The sequence below is a fragment of the Homo sapiens genome, chromosome 13 (genome assembly GCF_000001405.40).
Source record: "Homo sapiens chromosome 13, GRCh38.p14 Primary Assembly".
Taxonomy (NCBI): Eukaryota; Metazoa; Chordata; class Mammalia; order Primates; family Hominidae; genus Homo; species Homo sapiens.
The window spans coordinates 34,149,639-34,173,812 of NC_000013.11; the positions used below are offsets into that span (position 1 = coordinate 34,149,639).

Genomic DNA, 24,174 nt, shown 5'->3' on the forward strand with positions numbered 1-24,174 from the left:
GTTCTTCATGAGCCGTATCCAATTCCACATCTCTTGGTGGCCTAGAGAACTATATTTTGGACTCTTTCTCCCCTAGTCTTTTTCAGAAGCAGTCTACCAGGGAGTGGGGGCGCTGTCAGCAGACCCACGCTGTTCAGCTATTCTCAGAATCCATTATTGAAGGCAGTCTGTTTCCTCCCTCCTATTCAGAGACTTGCCTGTTAGTTCTAAAGAGACGGTGGAGGGCTATGAGTCCCTTGAATTACTTGTTTCTGAGTGAACATGGTTCAGGGAATACTCACGGCACCTTATCTAAATACCTTTTACAAGAGACAGCATGAACAAAACCCCACTAATTCGAGTCCTCAGGTGCTTTAGTCCTGCTTGCCAAAAGGTAGATTCAAAGGACACCATCCTCCAGTGCCTGTAAACATATTTCCTAGTACCTGGATTTCAACTCCTTTTTTTCATAAAGGCTTTTTCCCTAGCTAAAAGAATTTTCTTTATTGATTTGTCTTTCTCTCAGCTTTTATTTTATTTATTTTTATTTTTATTTCTTTATGTTTTTTTGAGATGGAGTTTTGCTGTTGTTGCCCAGGCTGGAGTGCAATGGCATGATCTTGGCTCACTGCAACCTCCACCTCCTGGGTTCAAGAGATGCTCCTGCTTCACTTCCCAAGTAGCTGGGATTACAGGCATGCCTCGCTAATTTTGTATTTTTAGTAGAGACAGGGTTTCACCATGTTTGTGAGGCTGGTCTCGAACCCTTGACATCAGGTGATCCACCCGCCTCAGCCTCCCAAAGTGCTGGGATTACAGGCATAAGCCACTGTGCCTGGCCCTCTCTAAGATTTTTTTCTAATGTTTTCCGCAACATCCTAAAATATAAATGTGATTTAAAAAATTCTGTTCTCTAAGATTATAGTTATCTTTCCTCTCTAGTCCATCAATAAACTGAGGTTAAAAAAAAATTGCAAAACTATATTTTAAAAGTCAGTTAGTGAGGTGGTTCTTCTTGAAATACATTTTTTCCTATTCTAACTTTAAATTGGGGAATTTATATTTTTAGATCCTAGCTAAATTCTTTTTTTTTTTCACTCTTCAAACCTTACATTTGTACGATTCAGGGTGGAAGATGTCTCTCCAAGAGATGTAAAAGTTTCTGTTGAAAACCATAATGGGACTGTAAACCGTCTTGCCTAGAGAGGAGAGAGGTAAGGCAGAGAGATTTATCCCCCTTTTTCTTCCCCCCTCCTTCATTTTTGCCTCTGTCTTGTTTCTTTTCCATATCTATTCCCTTCCTCTTTTCACCTGATCACATTTTTCAAGAACATTATTAATAAAAACATTTTAAAAAGGACTGACATATAGCATCAAATCTGTCAACAATGATTATTATATTATACGTCTTCAAATATGATTTCACAATGTAATTGTAAGACTGGGTGAATCAAAACTAGTCTCTTGTTCGAACAAATAAAAAAGAAGCTCAATCATCAACACAGGTCAAACCTTAACAGTTTAAGCCACTACTTTGTAACTCATAGAAAAGCCCTGTAAAACATGAATGTAAAACTCAGTTTAAGACAAATGAGTCCCTATCAAGTATCAAGCATTCCTCTGTGTTTCAAAATCTACTGTGTCTTATGAAAAACTGAATCTCCTTGGGGTCATTACCATCTATTTTCCTCTGAAGAACATTCTTTTCTGTTTTATTTGGTTAATAAATGTACACTTCCTCACCAGAGAAAAAGAGAAAAGGTTCATAAGAACTAATCGACCCCCAAGTAGTTGGAGTCCATTTCTAGAGCTTAATCACCTACTTCAAATATGGAAATGGGAGTCTACTTACTTAGAATTTTCACTCACCCCTTTTATAGACTTGGCAGGTAGAATAGGTCTCATTTCTGGTTCTGTGGCCCCTATCCAGACTCCTCTATGCAATATCTTTCACCAACAGAACCAACAGGCCAATGAGGCTTTGCTACAAAAGTCACACCAGGTCCAGAATAAAGCTTATGTGAACTGGGACTAACTTAGATATGGGCAGCATTGTTTGACATGCAACCTTCACCTTTGGGGATGCCCTCTTTCTCCACAGTATACAAACCTAGAGTATTCATCGCTAGGTCTTATCTTCTCTGGTTTTAGCTTTTCTAGGTAATACCCAAATGCATTTGACTTATGGACCGTGCCCCACCACCCTTCTAGGGAATCTCCGATGTAAATTGTGTCTGCAGCTTAACAACGATTAATGACTTTCCACTTATAAGTAACAGTTTTATTTTGATTCATTTTAACAAATATATATTGGCACTTAACATGTACCAGGCACTGTGTTGGGTTTGATTATGTAGTTGTAACCAGGTTAATCATCAGCTGTCCTGACTCAGAGGAGAGTTTGAAGTCAAGGCTACTCATAAAACATGAAGTACACAGTAGGTAGATAGAGCTTTGATAAGGGAGATTGGCCAGAGTACATAACTAGTGGAGCCAGATTTTGGAGTTAGTGTCTTCTGAAACCTGAAGAGCAAGTAGAAATTAGTCAAGCATCAGAGGGCTTTAAGAATGGGGCACTCTCCATTGTGAGTAAATGAAAAGGAACGGAGCATGTGGAAGGAGCTAAGAGGCTGCAATGCAACTGCAAAGCAGAATGAGAAGGGTGGAGTGGTGAACACAGAGGCAAGCAGGAAACCTCCTTATCATCTACTTTAACCCAAAGGAACTCTTTTAATGGTGGATGTAAGACATAGTTACAGCCAGTGGGAGACAAATTTTGGAAGAAGTGAATTTTTTGAGGTCCCTCAAACCACACTGTGTAAGTAACTCCTTGATCTACCTACGTAATAGCCAGGCTCTGACACAGACTCTGAGGGCTGCTTAGTTACCACATTCATGCATCTCTCAGCCCAAATGTGAGCAGGTCCCAACACACACCATTCACGTGTGAATGGCAAGAGAAGGCTTCCCAGATCATAGGTCAATTTCCTAGGCGTGTGATATCCTGCTTCTTCCCCGACCCTAGTGATGTCAATAATACCTGTCCCTCCTACAACTCCTTATCAGGAATTCCACCCAACTCACAGGCATAGCTGGCTTTGGTCCTATGTTCTGAACAAAGTGAACTGCCTGCAGTTCATAGCTGAATGTTGCAGTGCTTTGTAGTGGGTAGAAGGGAAGCTAACCCACAGGATGACTTTGTGTAGCATGGCTCAAGAAATGAGCTGGTGCAATCAGATCTTTGCTTTCTATAATCTGAAGTTGGAAATGGAGAGGCTGAGTGAGTTACTAGTGAAACCAAAGATAAAATTGTGTTATATGTTTAACTCTGGATCAAGATGAGACCAATTTACATGCAAGTCAAAGTTCGGCAGCAGTTGTTGAAAGGATCAAATAAATTAATTTGTGTGAAATACTTAGAAATTGATGGGGATTCAGGATATGCTTAACAAGAAATAGCCAGTATTCATTTTGTATCTTGATACTGGCAGCATAGCTAGAAAAATGCCTTTGGTAGAGAGAGGCACATGGAGAAGGTGTGTAGAGAGGACTTGGTTGCTGTGAGGGAAAGGACAGGCCCAGACCTGACACCATTTTAGTTGCCAAAAAAACATGCAGTCCTGCATGGAAGCTCTGCCCTTCCAGGTGACTTGGGAGAGATTCTGGTCTTTTTCCAGCTAAGTAAGCCCAAGTAAGAAACTTCCTAATTCAGAGACTAAATTAGACAAAATGAGTTATCTTCCTAACCCATTTGTAGTTTTTAGGCACAGGGTGTTGTTAGGAGTAATTCTCAAAATCCTAAGAAAATTGAACACTCGAACAAAGGATTCTTAGCAAAGCAATTTTACCTCTGTGCAGAGGGGTTCCTCCTTGGCCAGTCACCATGAGAGCACACCTAAACAAATGGGCACGAGAGCCTTTATTCCTGACTCAAGTCCTGCCCCTGTAACCTTTCCCCATTGGCCGGGGTCGGGTCGTACAACCTAAACTAATCCCGGTTGGCTAAACATTTGATTTTTTAAGATAAGGTGGGCACGCAAAAGAAAGTGGAGAGGAAAGGGGAAGCGGTGTCTGTAATGAGCTGGAAAGTTAGTCCTCTTTCCAAATAAGGAAAGGAATGTGAGCTGGTACTGATAACGCCTGGTACTGTGGCGCCTGGGCATCTGACAAAGGCAGAAAGGGAAAAAGGAGAAAGGAGAGGGTACTATGAATTAAAGAATAAAAGATTGATCAGATTATTTGAAGAGAAACCTCATCATATCCCACAGTGTCATGTCAAAATAATGAGCTATTGTTAAATCCTAAAAGCCCTGGTGCATTTTTTTGTACCCAAGTGTATGTTAATCTATCAGTTAATTTAATAATTTCCGTGCCTTCCTCATTACACACATGAGCTGATAAAATCTGGCCCATGAATTTTCACAGATTCTGCTTATAAAATGTTGGGATAATGAACTAATTGAAAAACTCCCCCCACCGGCCAATTCTGAAACAAGTGCCTTTGTTAGCTGTGTTCCAGGAGAGGTTAAATATGTATTTGATTGTGTGTGGATATAACCAAGACACTAACAATAGGTTAAATCCTTTGAAATTTCCAATTAAAGAGAAATAAAGTAAGCAAGAAATTCATAGTAATTATGACACTGTTGTGCGATGCTTTGTTATGAATGGAAATAAAAATATAATTTTATTAGAACTGAAATAAGGATTATGTTCTCAGATTAGAGTCAAAATGCGGTGATGAAATAAGAAAAGCTACTCATTTGGCACAGAAAGAGTACAGCAGCAGAGGAGGAGAACCAGCTAACTCAAGAAATAATTGAGACGTATGCTTCAGTCAATATCACCTGCCTCTGACTCCAGATTACACATTATGCTTTTGAGTCATGGAATCAATCTTTTGATATCTGAAATCTCTCTGCCTTTTTAGGTTTATCTTCATTTAAATCACAATGTTGTCATTAAAATTTAGACTATTTCTTGAGGACATTCCTGTTTTCCTGTTGCTGTTGGTTATCACCTTTAAATGAGCTTACCTGTTGAAAAAGTTCAGGGTGGGTTTCTTATCATTGTTCTTAGAGATGGGCTTCCTCAGTTGCACAAAGACTTCTGCAGCAATTACACTTTCTTTGTGAAGTTGTGAGTGTAGAACTTTACAAGCATTCACAAAAGAAGAGAAGATAGAGCAATGAACTCTCATTTATCGAATAATTTGCACTGTTGAAGTTATCATAAACCTCTAATAGCATTTTGCCAACATCGCTTAATCTATCCCCCCAATGTATTGATTTACTTATTTTTTCTTGAGTAATATAAGCAAATCCCAGACATCTCATTCCATCCATAGATACTTTGCAATGCATAAAAGATATCAAATAGTATTTCTTTAAAAAAAAGGAAAAAAAAGAAAGGGAAACTTGAAAAATACTGACCTCCACCCCTGCATTCAAGGTATCCAAATTTTACTTTCAAGGCCTAGTTCAAATTTGCTAGGCTCCCTCTCAGTAGGGGCTGCATCCTCTTACTTGCACATTTGGAAATTTATTTTCTGCTGTCTTGTAGCATGTCCTGAATTAACTTGACATAACATTAAATTTTGTATTTTTATTTAACTTCTCAAGAATTTATGTTGTTTCTAAAACTAGAACAGGGAAGCAATGTGGTATAAAGGAAAACACTCAAATTTGGACTCAAAGGCTTAGTTCTAATTGGGATTTTGCCATTTTTACTTAAGTTTTCTGAACTTCAGTTTCTATAGCTGTAAAATGAAGAAGAAACTGGCCCTGTTACATTGCAAGCTACTCACATTCTTACATTTTAATTTGCGTTTATTTTAATAACTTAATTTTTTAATATGGGATTAAAGATGTTTACCTGCATGAATACATTTCAACAGAACCAGAAGAATTGACTATGATTTTTTAACCCATTAAGATAGCATAAATCACAACACATGATTTATTTATTTGAAAGATTAAATAAGATAATGAATGTGAAATGGCTGGCTCACAGCAGACTGCAATAGATGGTACCTATTATTATTAGCTTGGGACCAACTACCTGGAAGCAAGAGACTGTGTCTTCAAAAATTTGTTTCTTACCCCACAGAGCTTAGTCCTGTGACTCACACACAATCAGGAGAAGGACAATTAATATTTGGGTCTTTGCCTTGCTGATATGCCAGGTAGAGAAATGTTTACACATTAGGAAAAAAAAAAAAAAAACCTTGCGATATAGAGAGTATTTTTCACAATATCTGGAGAGAAATTTCATCTGATTTGGAATTATAGGTTGAAGGACTAGACACGACCAGGATACGTCCTGAGACTGAGGGACAAATCCTTATTCTAGCCACACGCAAACAGCGGATTTTGAAAGCTGCCTCCAGCAATATAAAAGAACCTCAGAGCTGTGACTCAGCACAGGGTTATAACACTCTGATTTATCTTTCTCTAATCTCTTCCTCAAGGTCTGAAAGAATCTACTGTGCAATTTAGCAGAAAAAGTAGACAACCTCCGCCCGGCTCTTGTGCTCCGGTAATCCTCTCTCGAACCTGTGAGCAATTTCCAAAATCCGGTCTCTTTCTTCTAGCTCTGGTGTAAATGTCTTAGAAAGACTTGTAAACCAGAACAAGAATTCAAATAACCTGCCAGGTCAGTGTGCTTGCATAGACTTTTGAAGTTTAGAAAGATGTATGTATGACCAGAACCCCAAAGAGCTAAGCAAGATGACTGGAGGTTGCTGTTTCCAAACACCATGTCTGCACGCAGGGAAAATGTAAGCAGGTTTAATTGTCAGGATCTCAGTACTCTGATCCCGCCTACAGTCCATCCTCTCCCAGGAACTCAGAACTCTAAGCTCTTTCTCCAAGAACTGCTGGGAGGGGACCCTGGATTTTCCTTGGGGAAAATCCAGTGTTGCCAGGCTGATGACAGATTGCTGTTTGGTATTATTAACAGATATCAGTTGAGGTTGGCAAAACCTCTCTCCTTCCTTCTGCCCCCTTGCCTGTCGATATTTATTGATTCTCCATAGCGTTTAGAGCTGAATTTAACTCCCCATTTTTTCTCTTCTCAGCCTCTCCCTGTTAACAGGTTCATCCTCTAATTCTGAGTTGAAAAATGGATCCCCTTCCCTTCCAAAGCAGGGAAACTTGACTACAGGCGATCACATTTTTTTTTTTAAATGTGTTAAGAATCACAGCAGTTGTCCACTGTTGACAAAATGCTCAAAGGACAGAGGTGTGAGGGCTTGTGAGAAAATCCACAAATTCATCATGAAGTCCGTCATGGCAGTTAACTTGAAAACCAGGGATGACAATGTGGGTGACACCTCCTTCTTAGAGTGTCCCATCGCAGAGAACAGGGGTGGCTTGATCTGTACGGCATCCAGCATTGTGGGGCCTATGGTAAGCATTCCGAGAAATAGGGGGAGCATGTAGCATCACAGGCAAGAGGCGAGATGAATGAACTTTCTGTTCATTTGAGAGTGCAGACAGAGGTAGGAGGAAGTAGGTGGAAATGAATCAGTGAAATAAACCGGCATCTGCTCGCACACGGAGCATGCCGTTTCCTGACATGACTCACTGCCCAGCTCCTCCTGCCGCCTCTGACTCACCGTGCAGAGAGGCTGGTTTCTAAGGAGACCACTGAGGGCTGGGCAGTAGCCACCTGTGTAGACACTGTGCTCACATGGCCGTGGAGCCTGTTATCTAGAAAGCCTCATTTCTTTAAATGTCATTAGAGAGAGAGAGAAAAAATATTTCTTAAGGTTATTCTTGAGGTTATTTACAGACACACATCTGCTAGGAAGGAATGAAGTTCTTTGTTTGTCCAAAATAAGCAATTGATCCATGTTTTGGCCAACAGAGCTGTGCTAAATGCTGGGCACATTTGGAATGACTGGGGGATAGGGGAAGGATGCAGGAATGAAGAAGAGAAAAATGGAATTGATATTTCAAAATAAAATGCAAGTAAATCTATGACATATACTTACATAATAGTGGCTCACATGTTTAGTACTCACTGTATGATGGACATTGCCAATAAAAGATCAGTAAGCCCAGTTCCTCCCCTCTCAGAGCTAGTAGGTCCCAGGACGGTGGAGACAGCGAGCTTCTCAGAGAGCAGCTTTTCTGCAACTCATGGAGGGTGGAGAGAGAAGTTAATGTACCCAAAGTGAGAGACACAGATGGCACCTACAGGAGCCTTTCCATTCTCAGGCCACCCAGAATCTCAATTAGTCCCACACAATGGTGTAGAAGCTCTCATCTAACTTGGTTCATTGAATGAGTTTGAAAATAATGGTAATACTGTTTGTCAGTAAAGAGATGCTGGCAAAATACTCCAAAAGTTTCTGCTCTTAAAGAGTTAACTACTTCCCCTGAATACCTATTTGTATTTTTTAATAGCTTCAAAATACCTTATCACAGGCAATGGAAAAACAACAACAACAACAACAACGTCAACCTAGCCAGTGTCAAAACTATCGTAAGTTCCCAACTAATGAATTTTAAATTTTCATGAGCTTCTATTAGGTATTTTGTACCCTTAGTTTTTTTACGCCACCAACACTTTTCATCAAAAGGGCATGAAAACATTGTGTGTTTTTAAAGGGTAAGAAAATTCTGAGGTCTTATTTTCCTTTTAACCTTATGTTCAATAAGCTCACATCCTTGCAAAGGAAGTACATAATTCTACCATAAAAATCAGCCTTTCATGGATTCAGAGTTTTTAAGAAAGTCTAAAGTAAATTTATCTGAAAATAAATCTTCCTGAGAAAAAATACATTTTTTTCCTGGAGTCGTTTTTAAAAATATGACTTGATATTATAGCTGTATGAAGGAGTATCTGAAGTACTGACTTCTTATATCATTCCTTTACATTTTCCTCAGAGTTTTGAAATTGCTCCCTATTGAACGAGCCTATTCTCTGTGCAGAGGAAGCTTTTTACACCTTCTATAGGCGTGGAAGGCAGCAAGAATAGATCTCTGGATTGGATTGTTTCTGTTTCTCCCTCCTTCTCTCTCTCCCTTCCTTCCTTCATTCCTCCCTTCTTTTTTTCTTCTTGCCATTAATAAGCGTTTTTTGAACCCCAGAGTTGACCACATATTTGCTCTTCTACCTTTACTTTGGGTTTCTTTGGAAGATACATACAAAGATGGTATCTCAAGGTCCCTGGAAGAGTCAAGGCAGAGAAGATCCTCTATACATGAAAAGGAGGCAAAGAAGACATGGAGAAAGATGATGTCCTATTCTTAGTTACAAGTTTCACCAAATTAGTAGTGAGAGGATCATACATTTACAAGACCTGAAGATGGTAGATGCTCTTGGGAATATAGCAGGGTGGGCAGGAAAGAGGCAAGTGGAGACTCAAGTGCATCTCTTCAACACACTTAGACTTTAAAACTCCATTTCAGCTGGCAAAGTTTGGCAGTAGATATAGTTTTGTGAGAAGTAAAAAGACCAGATTGGAGCCATGAAAAGGAATAAAATTATTGGAGTTTCCCAGAGCCAGATCTAGGCTTTAAGTGGGAAGGAGATAATTCTTCACATTCATATCTTCATTCTTTTGCCCAGTTCAGAAGTTGCGAAAAATGAACCAATTGATGGCCAAAGACCAAATCTAGAACAAAGAGCATTCACTCTATTTTTTTTAGATATATGAGGATAGAGAATGAATAGCTTAACAAGGGCTCATCAGACGATCAAGAAGTAGGTCTTAATCCTGCTATGCTCCTGGCTTTGTGATAGCCGGGCATTCTCCATCCCCAAGGAGCTAATGGAGTAACTGTGCAGACACATAAAGATAAAAAATAAGAGAGAATGCTATGAGGACAGAGAGAGGAGGCATGTCCTTTTGGAAAACTTTGGGGAAGATTTCATGAAAAATTGATAGATTTTGGAGTATGGTTTCGAACTAGGTTTTGGGTTATAGGTAGTTTCACCACTAAGAGAAGAAGGTTAGGTCGAAGGAGAGTTATCAGGAACTTTTATTAAAGGAGAGAGTTATGAAAATGCACAGTGTCCAGACAACAGGGAATAGGTGCTGTAATTAAAAACATAAGTTATGGTGGAAGTTATGGCAAAGTCGTAAAAGAAGAGGCGGAAAATATAGAGGCCATGGTGCAAGATGTACTGATAGAGGCTGGCCATAGACAACAAAGCCATTAATTTACTTTTTCTTTTTTGGGGGATTGGTGGGGTGGGGATGTCGTGGGAAGGAGAATCATCAGTAAGGATCTGCTGTCAAGTGTCTATTTTAGACACCTGATTACAGGAGTGTGGAAGATGTGTGGGAAGACTACCTATTCTTTAACTACAGCTCCCTGTTGTAGGTTGAGTTCCTGGAAAGGAGCTTATGAGATGGAGATTTGCAGGTAGGAAGTTTATTGGAGATTGCTCTAGGGTGCAGGCATCAGGATTAGGCAGGGGGAGAAGTTGCTGCTACCATCACAACAAAAGCTTCAGGTTATTCCAGAGAGCCGCCCAGAGCTCGGATGGCATGTAGAGTTGTATCAAGTTGAGACAATGAGGTGAGACTTTATCTTCATATCACCTAGTCATTGGATAAAGAAGAGGGTGTGACCTTGGTCAGCTGAGGTCAGTCAACAGGAAGAAGAACTAAGCTGCAAGCTACCAGTTGTCACCATGATCAACACCTGGGGGAATGGGTGTTTCAGATCAATCCTCAACCCGTCTTTCCAATCTCTAGAAATTGGCACCACCAACTACCCTGTTAATCATACCAAAAGCAGGGGTACTTCCTTGGCTTCTCAGTTTCCTTTTACCCAGTACCCACTCCACTGGTAAAATCCTGTCAGCTCCTCCTTCAAGGTTTCATCTATTTCTAGTAAGAGTATGTTAATCCTAGTTCATGCCCCCTCATCTGCCATTGGGACAAGAGACTCCCGAATGGTCTGCCTGTTTCCACTCTTGCTTGTTTACAGTCTTTTCTGTATATAGTATCATATCAATGCCTGGGACCTAGGGAATACGCAATACATATAAAATATGTGAATGAATGATTTCAGAAGGTGTAATCTCTTTAGCCATAGAGGGACCACTCTTATGGAGAAATAGAGAATGTGTTGGCCTCTGGATGTCCTAAGGAAAAAAAAAAAGAAGACAATAAATAAATTTTGCATACTAGGGAATATTTTTATAGGGTAAGTCTTATAAATGTCAACACATGCCAAACACATGTCAAAGATTTTAGTTCATTTATTAATGAGGGACCCAGTCAGAAGTCACAGCCTGTTCAAAGATGAATTCAAACTATTGCACATTTATAATTTATAAATAATGCTGAAATACATTAATAAGCAGTTGCAAAATTGGATTATTGGAGACAGAGAGAAGAAAAGATCAATTACATTTCCACCAGATACAATTTATTTGCGTCTCTATAGACAAGAAAGATCTCCACTGCACTCAGTTATTTCACAAAGATATACAATTGTTCAAAGACAATGAAGTTGCAGAAACCCTATAGAATCAGTTAATCCAGAAAGATGTGCTTACATAATACCTGGTTTTCCATTGAAGATACCCAGTAATCTTTCTGTCTCATTTCAAAGGCTTTCACAATTTTTTTCTTTCATAGGGAAGAAGAAAGGAAGAGAGAAAAGGTAAATAAAACCAAGATTTCATGGACAGTGCTGGTTTATGGGTTATGTGTTTTCCTTGAGAAATAATTAATAGCAAGTCTTTTTCTCTCAAAAATGTCCTGGTTGGAAGATAGGATGTATAGTCACCCTATTTGGAATTCACTGTCATTTCATTATTATTTACTTAATACCCCTTATAACATATAACCAAAAGATGCATGTAGTAGAGATAGAGCTACGCTCTGAAGGATTCAAAACAATTTAATAATTAGTGCTTTACATTGAAGCTATTAAGGCTATAGCAGCAAATCAACCATGTGAGTTTTGAAAGCAGCACAGCCAGGAACAGCCATAGCTGTTTTCTAGGCTGTCTCCTAAACATGAACCCTAAACCATCCATCTGGATGAATTTAGTCAGTCTCTGATTCCATTGATCATTGGATCTTCTCATCGTGGGAGATGGCCCCAATGCTTGGACAACATCAGTTTCTAAAACATAAGGCATTTTGTGTTTTCTGGTAATACTCCAAAGCAAAAGCCCACAATAATATTTGTGAGTATGCATTGATCAGGGAGTGAGAGCAGAAAAGGACAGGATAACAACCATCCTATGGCTGTAATAGTCTGCATTTATCATTTCTCAAAACTAGACGAGCTGAATAAGTCTAAAGGACTGAATTTGCTTCGGATTTTCTTTGTTGTTAAAATACACTGACCTACTCCTTTATTTCCACAGCCTCTGACAGCTATAGAAGCCATAAATCTCCTTCTTTGCCCTCTCTTTCTTTTGGTTTATACTGTAGAGGGGTTTTCAAATTCTATCACCTCTGGCTTCCCCTACATGGCATCATGCTGAGAAGCAGGCAGCTTAATCAGGCTCCCAGAACTTTTAAGAAAGCTTATGAGATAGAAAGTGCTTTTCTATAAATCTTAGAGGATTTGCTTACTTTTCCCTCCTCCTTCAAACTAGGAAGTCACATTGTGAACTGTAAACAGAACTCATTCCCAAAGGGATTAAAGCTAAATTTAGAACCAACGACTTAAGAACTGTCTGCAAACAAAACCACATGTGAATCAGCTCTATGGAACAATAGTTTGAACAAATGCAAACATAGTTACTAAAATGTTTGCCAATCGCAAGCTCTAATCAGAGTTTGCTTTATTCTGAGAAGCAAATGAGAACTCTGGAAAGGGTGTCAGTTCGTCATTTGTAAGCCCTCTTTGAAATGTTAGGTCAGAGTGAAAGTTGTAACGTAAAAGTCACTTGAGTGTTGGCCTCAAGTATCACTGTATTTTGGCCGAGCCTCTGATTTGTATGTGGTGAGAATCTCTCTTAGAAACATTTTTGAATCATTGACATTTACAAAACAAGTCATTTGCCACAGAGGGCAGGTCCCTGAAGTCCGTTCTTGAATACAAAAGGAAAACAACTAGTGCAGCACCAACTCAGGCATACCAAACTCACCTTCTCAAACTGGAAGATTTCATGCCACAAGCATTTTGTAGCAGCATTCTCGGAATAGTAGTAATTATAACTAACATTTGCCTTGCCCTTTATGGTTTGCAAAGTGCTTCCAACCCAAGACGTCATTTCAGAAGTTCTCAGCATGGACCTTGTAGGAGTGGGGAAAGGGAGAGACTGTTCAGCAGCAAGTGTCAAAAGACTGCCCTTTTCAGCTACCATTTTCCTGGCCTTTGCTGTTGTGAATCCCTACAAATAAGATTCTCCTGGAAAGGAATATAAAATGTGGTTGTTATAGTCCTTCAGAGTACCTCCCTTGCAGTACTTGTTTTACATAAATACTCACTGAGTTATATACTACATCAGGAAAGGTTTCAAAAAGTGAGTACTAATTAAACTTGGAAATAGTTTTTTAAATCACAAAATAGTCAGAAGTCTGTATCTCATTTTGGTTTCACATTCAGATCAGTCCTAAAATTGGTCAGACTTTCAAGCAAAGTCAGGCATGCCTATCTGTATATTCTGAAAATTAGGTGAATTCATTTATATATTCAGTAACTATTTAAGTACCTACTCTGTCAGTGTCTCCCATTTTTAGATGATACAAAGATTCATAAAACCTCTGCCTTCCATAAGTTTATACTCTATTAAAGATGAGAAGGTACACACATAACACTTAAGATGCAAAATATCAAAAGTCTAGAGAGATGAGAATTAAAATCTATTTCTGAGTTAGGAGAATTAGAGCAACCCTCACAAAGTAAGGTTTGACTTGGGCTTTACAAAGATATATGAGAAAAGGCATTCCAAGGAGGAAAAATAGCATGCAAGATGGGAATATATAGGATGTGTTTGGGAAGTGGTAAGTTATCCATTATGGTAGGAGCACAGATGATTTAAAAAAAAAGAAACCTAAATGAATGACATTCTTATGTGGCTCTGATAATTTTTTTCTGTGCACAGCCTAAAAAAAAACCTCAGATAAAATTTAAATTTAAACCTATGCCACATATTAACATAAAATCATAGTTATATATAGAGACAAGTATATAGCTCTGAGTATAATTATATATGTTCACAACTGATTCACACTCCTATTTTTATAGCTATTATATTTCCTTTTTTTCCTATAAAGGAACAAAAAATGTTTCCTTATTTAGCAATAATGCACTTTCTTTTATCATTAAGCAAAACCAAAAAAAAAAACTAAATGAGCAACCAAAATCTACTGCCCAAAATGATCATTGTTCACATTTTATGTATATTCTTCCAGCTTTATCATCTACTATATAAATATAAATATGTTTTAAAATATTAGAAACATTTTTCTTTTTACCAAAGATTTTTTTACAAGTATTTCTATTTCTGTTGCTGCATGATATTCCATTATATGGAAGTGCCAATATTTTTTTAACCAATTTCCTATTGTTAGACATCTGGGTGGTCTATGGTTAGCAATGAACAGCCTTACAATAAACCTTTGCTTGCATCCATGAATATTTCCTTAGGATAAATAACAAGAAGTGACCTTCCTACTTCATGGTGTGTGTGTGTGTGTGTGTGTGTGTGTGTGTGTGTGTGTGTGTGTGTGTAGTCTAATTCTATTCCATAAAAGTTATACCTTTCTTGACTCCCACCTGCAGTAGAGCTATATTACTTCTCAAAGAAAATGATATAATCTCTCAGAAATATGGGATAGTCAGAAACACAGGGCAACTTTTACATTTGAGCAGAGACATTAAATCACTAAGACCTGTGTGTAGTGAGTCTTCCAACTGACATATCTTTCAACCAGAGAAGCCCTCCTTTATCCATGAATAAGCATCAGTTGCTATTCTCTACATCATGGATTCCTCTCCATTACCACCTTAGCCCTGAAAACACTTCTATCTACTCCTAATATAAGCCACGTGAAAAGCTAAGATTTGTTGCTATTTTTCATTATGCTGAGACTGATCACAGAGGCATACTATGGCAATCACAGACACTAACCTGGCGGTAAGTCAGGGCAATTTCATTACAAGTGCACGCTTGCATTTTATGCCCCTTAATCACTGTTACTGCTCTCCCAAGCAGCACATTCTTTCAGCTTGGATTTTGACAATACGTTCTTTGTCAGAGGAATGCTGCAAAGAGGGTGAAAGGGGCTGCTATTGCCAGAACAGTTCCCTGGCACCTGAGGCGGAGGTACTTAAAAAAGCCACTGTGTGCATTTACACTTGCTCCATTGGTGCACACAGCCTTACTCAAAAGAATAATGATAATGCAGGTAACAGTCTTATCTGGCTCAGCGGTTTTACCTTTTCATAGCCTCCAGATGTTTAGTGGAGTTTTGCTTATGCCCACTTCTTCAGAAAACTTACCTAGTTGTGTTAAGGTCAAAGGTACAATGCAAAATTCCCTGAGACCTGAAGAGCAGCTCTATCTGAGATGACTGAGTAGCCAACTTGCTACGCTGTGCCTCTTCTTAAAGCGTCTGTGAGCCGGGAATCACAATTATTGAGAAAGGGTCATAAATTAAATTAAATGACATGTAGAAAATGTCTGACATGTCAGAAATGTGGCCAAATAGGAATTCCTGAACCACAGTGACAAGGAAATCAATTCCATAGCTGGTGGTTGATTAAACCCAACTTCAAGCTGTCTTCCTGATATCCAGCTTCCTGGTATAGTATTTGCAGAGAACGCTTACCCAAGGTTGGCTCTAAATGAGTAATGTTATACAGACTGTGAACAGCCTTCGAAACCATGTTAGCCTACTAATTATTTGTGTGAGAGGCTTTTCTCTGGCCTGTGTTGACCGACGAAGAAAGGTAGAACCACTAGTCATGGGTAGTTACCCACACCGGGTAAAACACTTAAACAATGCCGCCACAATATTATTGGTAGAGGTGTTGTGCAAAATATTTTATAACGCATATGGAAGGAACTGACCAATCAAAACGGACAGAATAGACATCAGCCATAAAGAATTGGTAACTGTGCTGAAATAGCTGAAATGCACTGCCTGAATATCAGCCTGGCTTATAGATAAGTGTGTAGATAGCAAAAGCAACATCCATTACTGAGAACCTACCATGTGCTAGGCACTTATGTGGGGCACTAGAGACATGTAATAAGCATAGAAGCCTGTAAGATCAGTATAGCCACATGTAGTAGTAGCAGTAGGAGTAGCAGTAAGAGTAGTAGTAATAGCCATCATTTGTTGAGGCCCTATTAGGCACTGAGTGCTGTTCATTTCATTGAGTTTTTGCAACAACTCTACACCAACAACTCTACAAAGTAGGCATTATCATCAGATTACATGGATGAAATAACTGAAGCTCTGAGATGTTAAATAACTTGCCCAAACCATTCAGATACCAGAGCTGGAATAGAAAGTTCTATCTCTGTGGAAGCCCATATTCACTCCACTATGCCGTGTGGCACCTCCTTGGAAATTGCACTGGTCTCGGCTCTGCCTCTAGCAGACCACTTAGTCTCTTCATTCTCAGTATTCCTGTCATAAAATTAGGAAAATAATATCTGTACATACTAACTGCTCAATGAATTTTAAATGTATGCTTCAGGTTCTTAGCATATGTGCTTTATTAGCAAAGCACAATCCCATCCCTTGAGAGATTTGTAACTTAGGTGGTTAGATAAGATATATACATTAAACATTTATATATATATATATGTAAAACATATTAATGTGTCCCTCGCCTTTACCTGGGCAAGTCTTTCTGTCTGTTTCTCTCTCTCTCTGCTGGCCTTAGTCTGTGTACTCTGTCTTTGTGCTGAGGTAATGGTGAGAATTATATGGGTCTATTATTGTATAACATTCCAAGGTAGCATATACTAAGTTTCAAACAAGTGCTATGGGTGTCAGATATGAGAAGCACTTCTGGAAGTAGGCGGTCTGAGCATCTAAGAAAGCAGATTTCAGTGGCGGCTTGTTTTATGCCTTGAGGGGAAGGTTGACCAAAGCTGTGGGTATGTGGAAAAGAAGGGAAAGGCATTTTAGATAAGAGAAAATGCATGATCAGAGACATGGGATTGGAAATGTGAAATTTGTTTGGAGATTAGTAAACAAATCTCTTTTACTGGACTTAAAAGTTATTTTTCATAGCACAAAATGGCAAGAATAATAAATGCCAAAGAGTCAGGCAAACATCACTCAAAGCAAATATGCCCACGTCACCAAACTTGGTGTTCTAAGAATATAAAAAAAAGATATCAGTTCCTGTTATTCTTTTCTCAGAATAATACTCTTTGATATGAATATACTTAAAACCATTCAACTGTACATTTAAAAATGGTTAAGATAATTAAAAAATAAAACAAAAAACAAAAAACTCATCAATACTCTTTAGGGAAATGCCCAGTCTAAGTGCCCCAAGCCTTATAATTATCTTGGTTATAACATTTATCCTGCATTTTAATTGGTTCTTTTCTTTTCCATCTCCTGCATTAGCCTGTAATTTCTTTCTTATTGGTCTTTGTAATTCTAGGATTTAGTGTCTGACACATAGTATATAGACTAAATATATTTTAAGCAAATTAAGGGCTTCAAGTAAGCAAAAATTTTGAATAAGTTGCATTTAGCTTACAACCTTAAAACCTTCCCTAACGCTCTTGAGAATGAAGTTTAGGGTCAGTCAGCATTAAGGAGTATATATAATCTACATGTGCTGGGCATGAAATGGTTAAGCAGCAAAGCCCAAGGCCTCTGCAGCCACTGGAGCTTTTTGATCATACTGTAGGAAGCACGGTAGCATGGTCAATAACTTCTGTGGACATTAGATTTTTTTCAAGTAAATTCAATCTGTAAATTGTTCTCTTCTAGGCAAAAAGCCAGGGAGACCCATATAATTCTCACCATTACTTCAGCACAAAGACAGAGTACACAGACTGAGGCAAACAGAGAGAGAGAGAAACAGACAGAAAGACTTGTTCAGGTAAAGGCGAGGGACACATTGAATGTTTTAGCCTTCTATTAATCTATTCAAAAACTAATTATAAAGAGAAGAAATACAAGACAGAAACAGAAATAAAGTTGTTAGAGACATTGCTCTCACAAGAGAAAGATGGAGAATTTCTTACATTACATGTTATTCCTTCTGTAAGGAAAAGAATATTTGAAAGCAGACCAGGTAAGGCCAAAGAAAGCACCTTATTTTCTGTCCTATCTTTAACTTTGCTTTGATATATCCATGAAAACATACAGAAAGCCCTAAAGTCACACAGCATTAGTCACTAAGCAAACTGATCAATGATTTGAAAACACTTGGAGAAATTTCTCTAAGGTAAAATGTATTTGGGTTGGATTGTATCTGTGTGAATGGCCCATTCTGAAGCCTGGAGTATTTCCTGAGGTATTCCCTGCAACAGGGATGAAGGCAAGATCTGGCTTCTGCTACCGTGTACTGTATGCCTTGTAACAGGGGCTCTGGACTCCAAAAGAGGCTGCAGTAATCAATAACACAGCATGGCATGGCATGCAAGGGTACTAGGACATTGTGTATTGCATGCTGTTCTTAGAGGTGGAGGCAAATTCTTTATTCATTGAGGAATTTATTCATTCGATCATTTTTTAAATCCATTTGACAAAAACGGTCTAAATTTCCTCATGTTTGGTGTTAGAGTGACACAGATGTGCAGGATTGATTTGGTCTCTGCTCTTATGACACAACGGTCCAACAATGAGAAAGAGTCAGTTAAATATGAATTAAAATAAGTGTAATAGGTGCTTTGTTAGGAAAAAAATATATACTACAGGTACATAGGAAGAAATATACATGTGGGGTTCTGGGGGTGGGAAGCAAGGACCTGGAAATGTTTTTGTAGAAAGTGACTTTTATACTGACCCTGAAGTCAATGTTAAATAGTGTTGGAGGTGTTACAAGAAAAAGAAGGGAAATCTGAAAGCAGGAGTGTCTTAGTCGATTTGTGCTGCTATAACGAAATACCACATATCTTTATTGTCCAGCCTCTACTGATTACCCAGTTTCAAAGTCAGTTCTACATTTTTAGGTATTTGTTATAGCAACACCATGCTTTCTGTACTAATTTCTGTCTTAGCCCAGTTGTGCTGCTACAACAAAATGCCTGAGACTGGCTAATTTATAAAGTATGGAAATGTATGTCTCACAGTACTGGAGGCTGGAAGTTCAAGATTATCGTGCTGGTGGTTTTGGTATCTGTTGAGGGCTTGGTCTCTAATTCCAAGACGGTGCATTGGGGAAAAATACAATGTCCTCACAAGGAGGAAGGGATAGAAAGACAAAAAGAGACCCAGAGTGTCTCCTCTAGTTTTATTCCTAAGGTCACTAATCCCATTCATGAGAGCTCTACCCTCAGGACTTAATCACCTCCTAAAGGCACCCCTTCCTAATACTATCACATGGCTATTAAATTTTAATGTATAAATTTTATATGGGACACAAACATTCAGACTATAGCAGACCTCTAGAAAGAGCTGTTGCCAAGCGTGTCCACCCCTAGATGGGTGAAGTACCACAGTCTGTAAAGAAGGCTGTCATGTTTGGAATGTTTGCCTCCTCCAAAACTATGTTGAAATTTAATTGCCATTGTAGCAGTATGGTGGGACCTTTAAAAAATGATTAGGTGATGAGGGCTCCACCTTCATGGGTGGGATTATTGCCATTATAAATGGAGAAATTTGTTTACCTCTTGTTCTCTCGTTGCTCTTATACTCTTCTGCAATGTGAGAAATAGCATTTGTCTCTCTGGAGAATGCAGTGTTCAACATGCCATCTTGGAAGCAGAGGCTGGGCCCTCACCAGACACCAAACCTGGATCTTGGACTCCTCAGCCTCCTGTTCTTCATAAATTATCCAGTCTGCAGTATTCTGTTATAGCAGCACAAAATGGACTAAGACAAAGGCCAAACCTGAATGTCATAAATAATAGCTATTTCTATCAGAAGTTCGGTTTGATAAGGCCCACTGATAGGTTTTAAATTAAATATAAATTTGGCAATCCAGTTTTTGTTTCTCAGTCAATTAAAATGGGTTAGTAGTATCCAAAGAATATGTCAGCAGTTTTCATAAGAAGCATCTAGATTTCCTGATAGTGTATGTTTGTTCTCCTGGAACATTAACACTACATTCCGAACACCCAATAAGTGTTGAATATTGATCAAAAGAGACCAAACATCATTATAACCAACATGTTAAATCGGATGTTTCTCAAATGCCTATTAGGAAATGTTGGATTTAAAAGATAAAGTCCTGTCAGTTCTCAATTCCACAAGTGACTTGTAAAAATACATGGAGATAAAAAATCTGGAATACAGCATTTTTGCCAGAAAGCCTATAACACTCTAATAAATGTGTCACCTGGATTTTATCTTGAAAAGATGAGATCATTGCAACTCAAATAAACAGCATCACTCTTGAGCAGAATGGGCTGAAAAATGACTTATAGGATCACATACACAAATTGTATATATTCTTGGCAAAAATGAGAGCATTGCTTAGTTAAATATTCATAAAATAATGTATTAAAATGTTCATCTTTATATCCTGCAAATAAATGTGTTATGAGAATCATATTTTCATCTCTAGGAGACAGCTCAAGTCCTCTTGGATATAGTAATGGTGAAAACTTAAATGAATAATAACATAGTTAAATAATATTATTGTGATCTTCTATATTTTGACAATTTTGTCCTTAGTTTTGACCCAACTTCTGTTAATGAGTGAATTATATACTCATTCAATAGCCAATAACTGTGGAGTGTCTGTTATGTGCTAGGCACTGGGGATTTGATGCTGAACAGGATACACATATTTCCTGACTTCCTCTGGGTTACTTCCTAGTGGGGAGGACAGACAAATGCAAGTAACAAATAACTAAAATAATTACCAAAGATTATAAAACTGATGAAGAAATGACTAGATTCAGTTTGGACTCTAACTTGATGTGGTCCTAAGCACTAAACTGGGATTTTAGAGATATTTTCTTTTTAATATTTTTGCAACATTTCACTATATGAGGGACTCTGAACCCAGAGGCTATAGTCTCACATATAGCTGAAATTTTCAAATAATGATTAGATTTGTGCAGCAGCTTGGTGGTCTAGTTTGAGGTAAATGAGATGTCCGGAAGCTGAACTGCAGTGCAGGTTCCGAAATATTGGAAATGACATAGGTTCTGGTGATGCCTTATGGTGCTCTAAACTTTAGGTCACACTGAGGTTAAAACCAGAACAGGATTGGATCACACTCTTGGGAGCCAGACTGGATTTCTTTTTCAGTGCTTACTCTTGAGTCTGACACTTTGGTTTGTGCCATACATATCAGATGGGTCTAGTTTAGTTCCAAAGGCTCTGTCTTCCACATCCTCTTAAATCCATCTGTGTCCAGTTGAGTCTGCAGATATGCAAAGTGCTAGGACTCTGTTATTCATGTTCTCCTCACCCTGCTCTCTGCCTTCTGCCTACTATGTTGTCAAAATAACAGTAGTTGACCATTTGATGTGGTCTTTTAAAAAGAGAGATTCCCGCTTGAACCCGGGAGGCAGAGTTTGCAGTGAGCCAAGATCGTGCCACTGCACTCCAGCCAGGAGACAGAGTGAGACTCCATCTCAAAAATAAATAAATAAATAAATAAATAAATAAATAAATAAATAAATAAAAATAAATAAAAAAGGATCTTCCTAGCCTGAAATCCTAGAACAGTGTTTTTGAAGAGAGAGAAGAGAAAATAGAATGAAGAGTGGAATGGAGGAAGAGTAGAATCACTGAGGTGGGGGAGAATATTAAATCTTAATGAAGAAGATCGTGATCCTTCCATTATCTCCCAATATTTCAGTAAATGAAAACAGAGTGTCTACTACATGCTAGATAATACTGAAATATGTGACTCTCCTATACAGAAAAACCACATCCCTGGTTCAAATTAAAAAGTCCAAGCATCACAAATACTCTCAACTCCTTAATGGTCCAAACTTGTAGCAGCCTGGAATATGTTTCCAAATCAGATGGTCTTAGAACCAATCAAGATATAATCTATCTTGAGAATGCCTTGGCAATATATTGAAAGCCTTAGAAATGTTCATATTGTCTGACATAGTAATTCCCCATCTTGGTAAATGCCGTCTTCCAAAACTTTGGTGTCATTCTTGATTCCTCTCTTTCTCTCAACTCATTTCTCATCTATTTGCCAAGCCTAAGGCTCTACATTTGCAAGAATCTAATCATCTTTCATGACCTCCACCACTAACAGACCACCATGATATGTCTGTGGACAACTGCAGCAATCTCCTAATGGATCTCCCTGCTTCCTCCTTTGCTCTTCATCTCTCTATTGGCCACACAGCAGCCACAGTAGTCTCTTATTTAATCTAGTTTGCTTATACCTCTGATGTCTTTCCATCCCATGTAAACTTAACCTACACCACAAGACCCTGTGTGATCTTGTCCTTGGCTTTATCTTTGGATGCTCTGGAGCTTCTATCACTCTCTGTCTCACTCTCACTGTGCCAGTCACAATGTCCTCTTTGCTGTTTATCAAGCATGCCAAACTCACTATTCCCTCAGGGCCTTTGCACATATCATTCCCTTAGCTTGCAATGCTCTTTCCTCAGGCATCCACATGACTAACTCTTTACTCAATTTAGAAAGGCCTTCAAACTTATTAACTGTTACCTTACCAGAAAAGCCTTTTATGATCACACCAGCCTCTATTACTCTGCTCTACTTTCACTCTGCTCTACTGTTTTTTCTCCATAGCCACTATCACCACCTGACATATATATTTGTTTATTTGCTAGAATACAAGCACAAGAGAGGAGGGATTTTGCTTTATTCTCTGCCAGATATTCAGGACTAGGAGAAGGCCTGGTACATAGTAAGACCTCACTAAATATTTGTTGAGTCAATGTGTTGGGTTCGTGAATTTTGATTCCTGTTCATGTCTTTTGAATTCTTCTACAATCTGCCTATCAGATGCAAATTGGAAGACATGTTGATGTGCAGAACTCTTGGCCAAGTTTTTGGTCTAATGGCAATTATGGGATTATGGCTTGCTAGCTTTCTGAAAAAAAGGAGTTGAAATGGATCTCCAAATTTTATTTAAAAAAAATCACAACCTCCTTTTTATGGTCTGGTCACGTTCCCCCAAATCATATGTTAAAAGTTAATGACGAATGTGAGAGTATTAAGAGGTGGGACCTCTCGGAGTGCAGACTTCATCACCTTCATGTCATCGAGATTATCAACTTTATAAAAGGACTGGAGGAAACTAGCTGGCTATTTTTTTTTTAAGATGGAGTCTCGCTCTGTTGGCCAGGCTGGAGTACAGTGGTGTGATCTCAACTCACTGTCACCTCTGCCTCCCAGGTTCAAGTGATTCTCCTGTCTCAGCCTTCCCAAGTAGCTGGGATTACAGGAGTGCACCACCACACCTGGATAATTCTTGTATTTTTAGTAGAAACAGGGTTTCACCATGTTGGCCAGGCTGGTCTTGAACTCAAGCGGTCTGCCTGGCTAGGCTCCTTTTTATTTTTCCATCCCTTCTGTCATGTGAGGACACAGTGCCTATCCCCTCTAGAGGATGCCACGACAAGGCATCATCTTCGAAGCAGAGCCCTTACCAGACACCAAATCTGCCAGTACCTTGATCTTGAACTTCCAGCCTCCAGAACTCAGATATATATTTATCTTTGTTATAAATTACCCAGTCCCAGGTATTTTTTTACAGAAGCACAAACAGACAAAAGTCGCTTGATTTCTAGCATGGCTTCTAGATGCGTCGCTGTTCGAGGCCCTGACCCTTCATCCACAGTTTGTTTTCAGTCTCAGTCAACCAGCAGTGGCAGACCCTCTGCACCCCACTACTGCTTCTGAAGTTGGCCTTGGTCCCCACTGTCTGTATCTCTCCTCTCTGTAGCTGAGCTCTATTATCTGGAGGTGCTTAGAGTGGAGGAGGCATTTCTGGATAGATCTACATGCTCTTTGCCAACTTCCATCTTTCTCTCTTCCACTTGTTTCATGTCAAAGGCCCTTAGAGAAAAGAGTAATGCTCTGTAATTTTATGGCTGCTCTTTTTTTTTTTTTAACCAAATATCATTTTGTGAAAATTTTTCCTGCACTATTAGGGGTCTTCTAAAACCTAG

At 38.8% G+C, this 24,174-nt stretch overlaps 2 annotated features.

Moving 5' to 3' along the window:
* Positions 6,915–8,114: an enhancer, noted in NCBI's record as "P300/CBP strongly-dependent group 1 enhancer chr13:34730690-34731889 (GRCh37/hg19 assembly coordinates)". NCBI's record gives its function as "activates an origin of replication core promoter dependent on BRD2, BRD4, P300/CBP, MED14 and CDK7 cofactors, with strong dependence on P300/CBP, by STARR-seq in HCT116 cells {active_cell/tissue: HCT116}" and the evidence as "EXISTENCE:reporter gene assay evidence [ECO:0000049][PMID:35650434]".
* Positions 7,623–7,682: a silencer, noted in NCBI's record as "silent region_5258". NCBI's record gives its function as "represses an Ori minimal core promoter by ATAC-STARR-seq in GM12878 lymphoblastoid cells {active_cell/tissue: GM12878}" and the evidence as "EXISTENCE:reporter gene assay evidence [ECO:0000049][PMID:35858748]".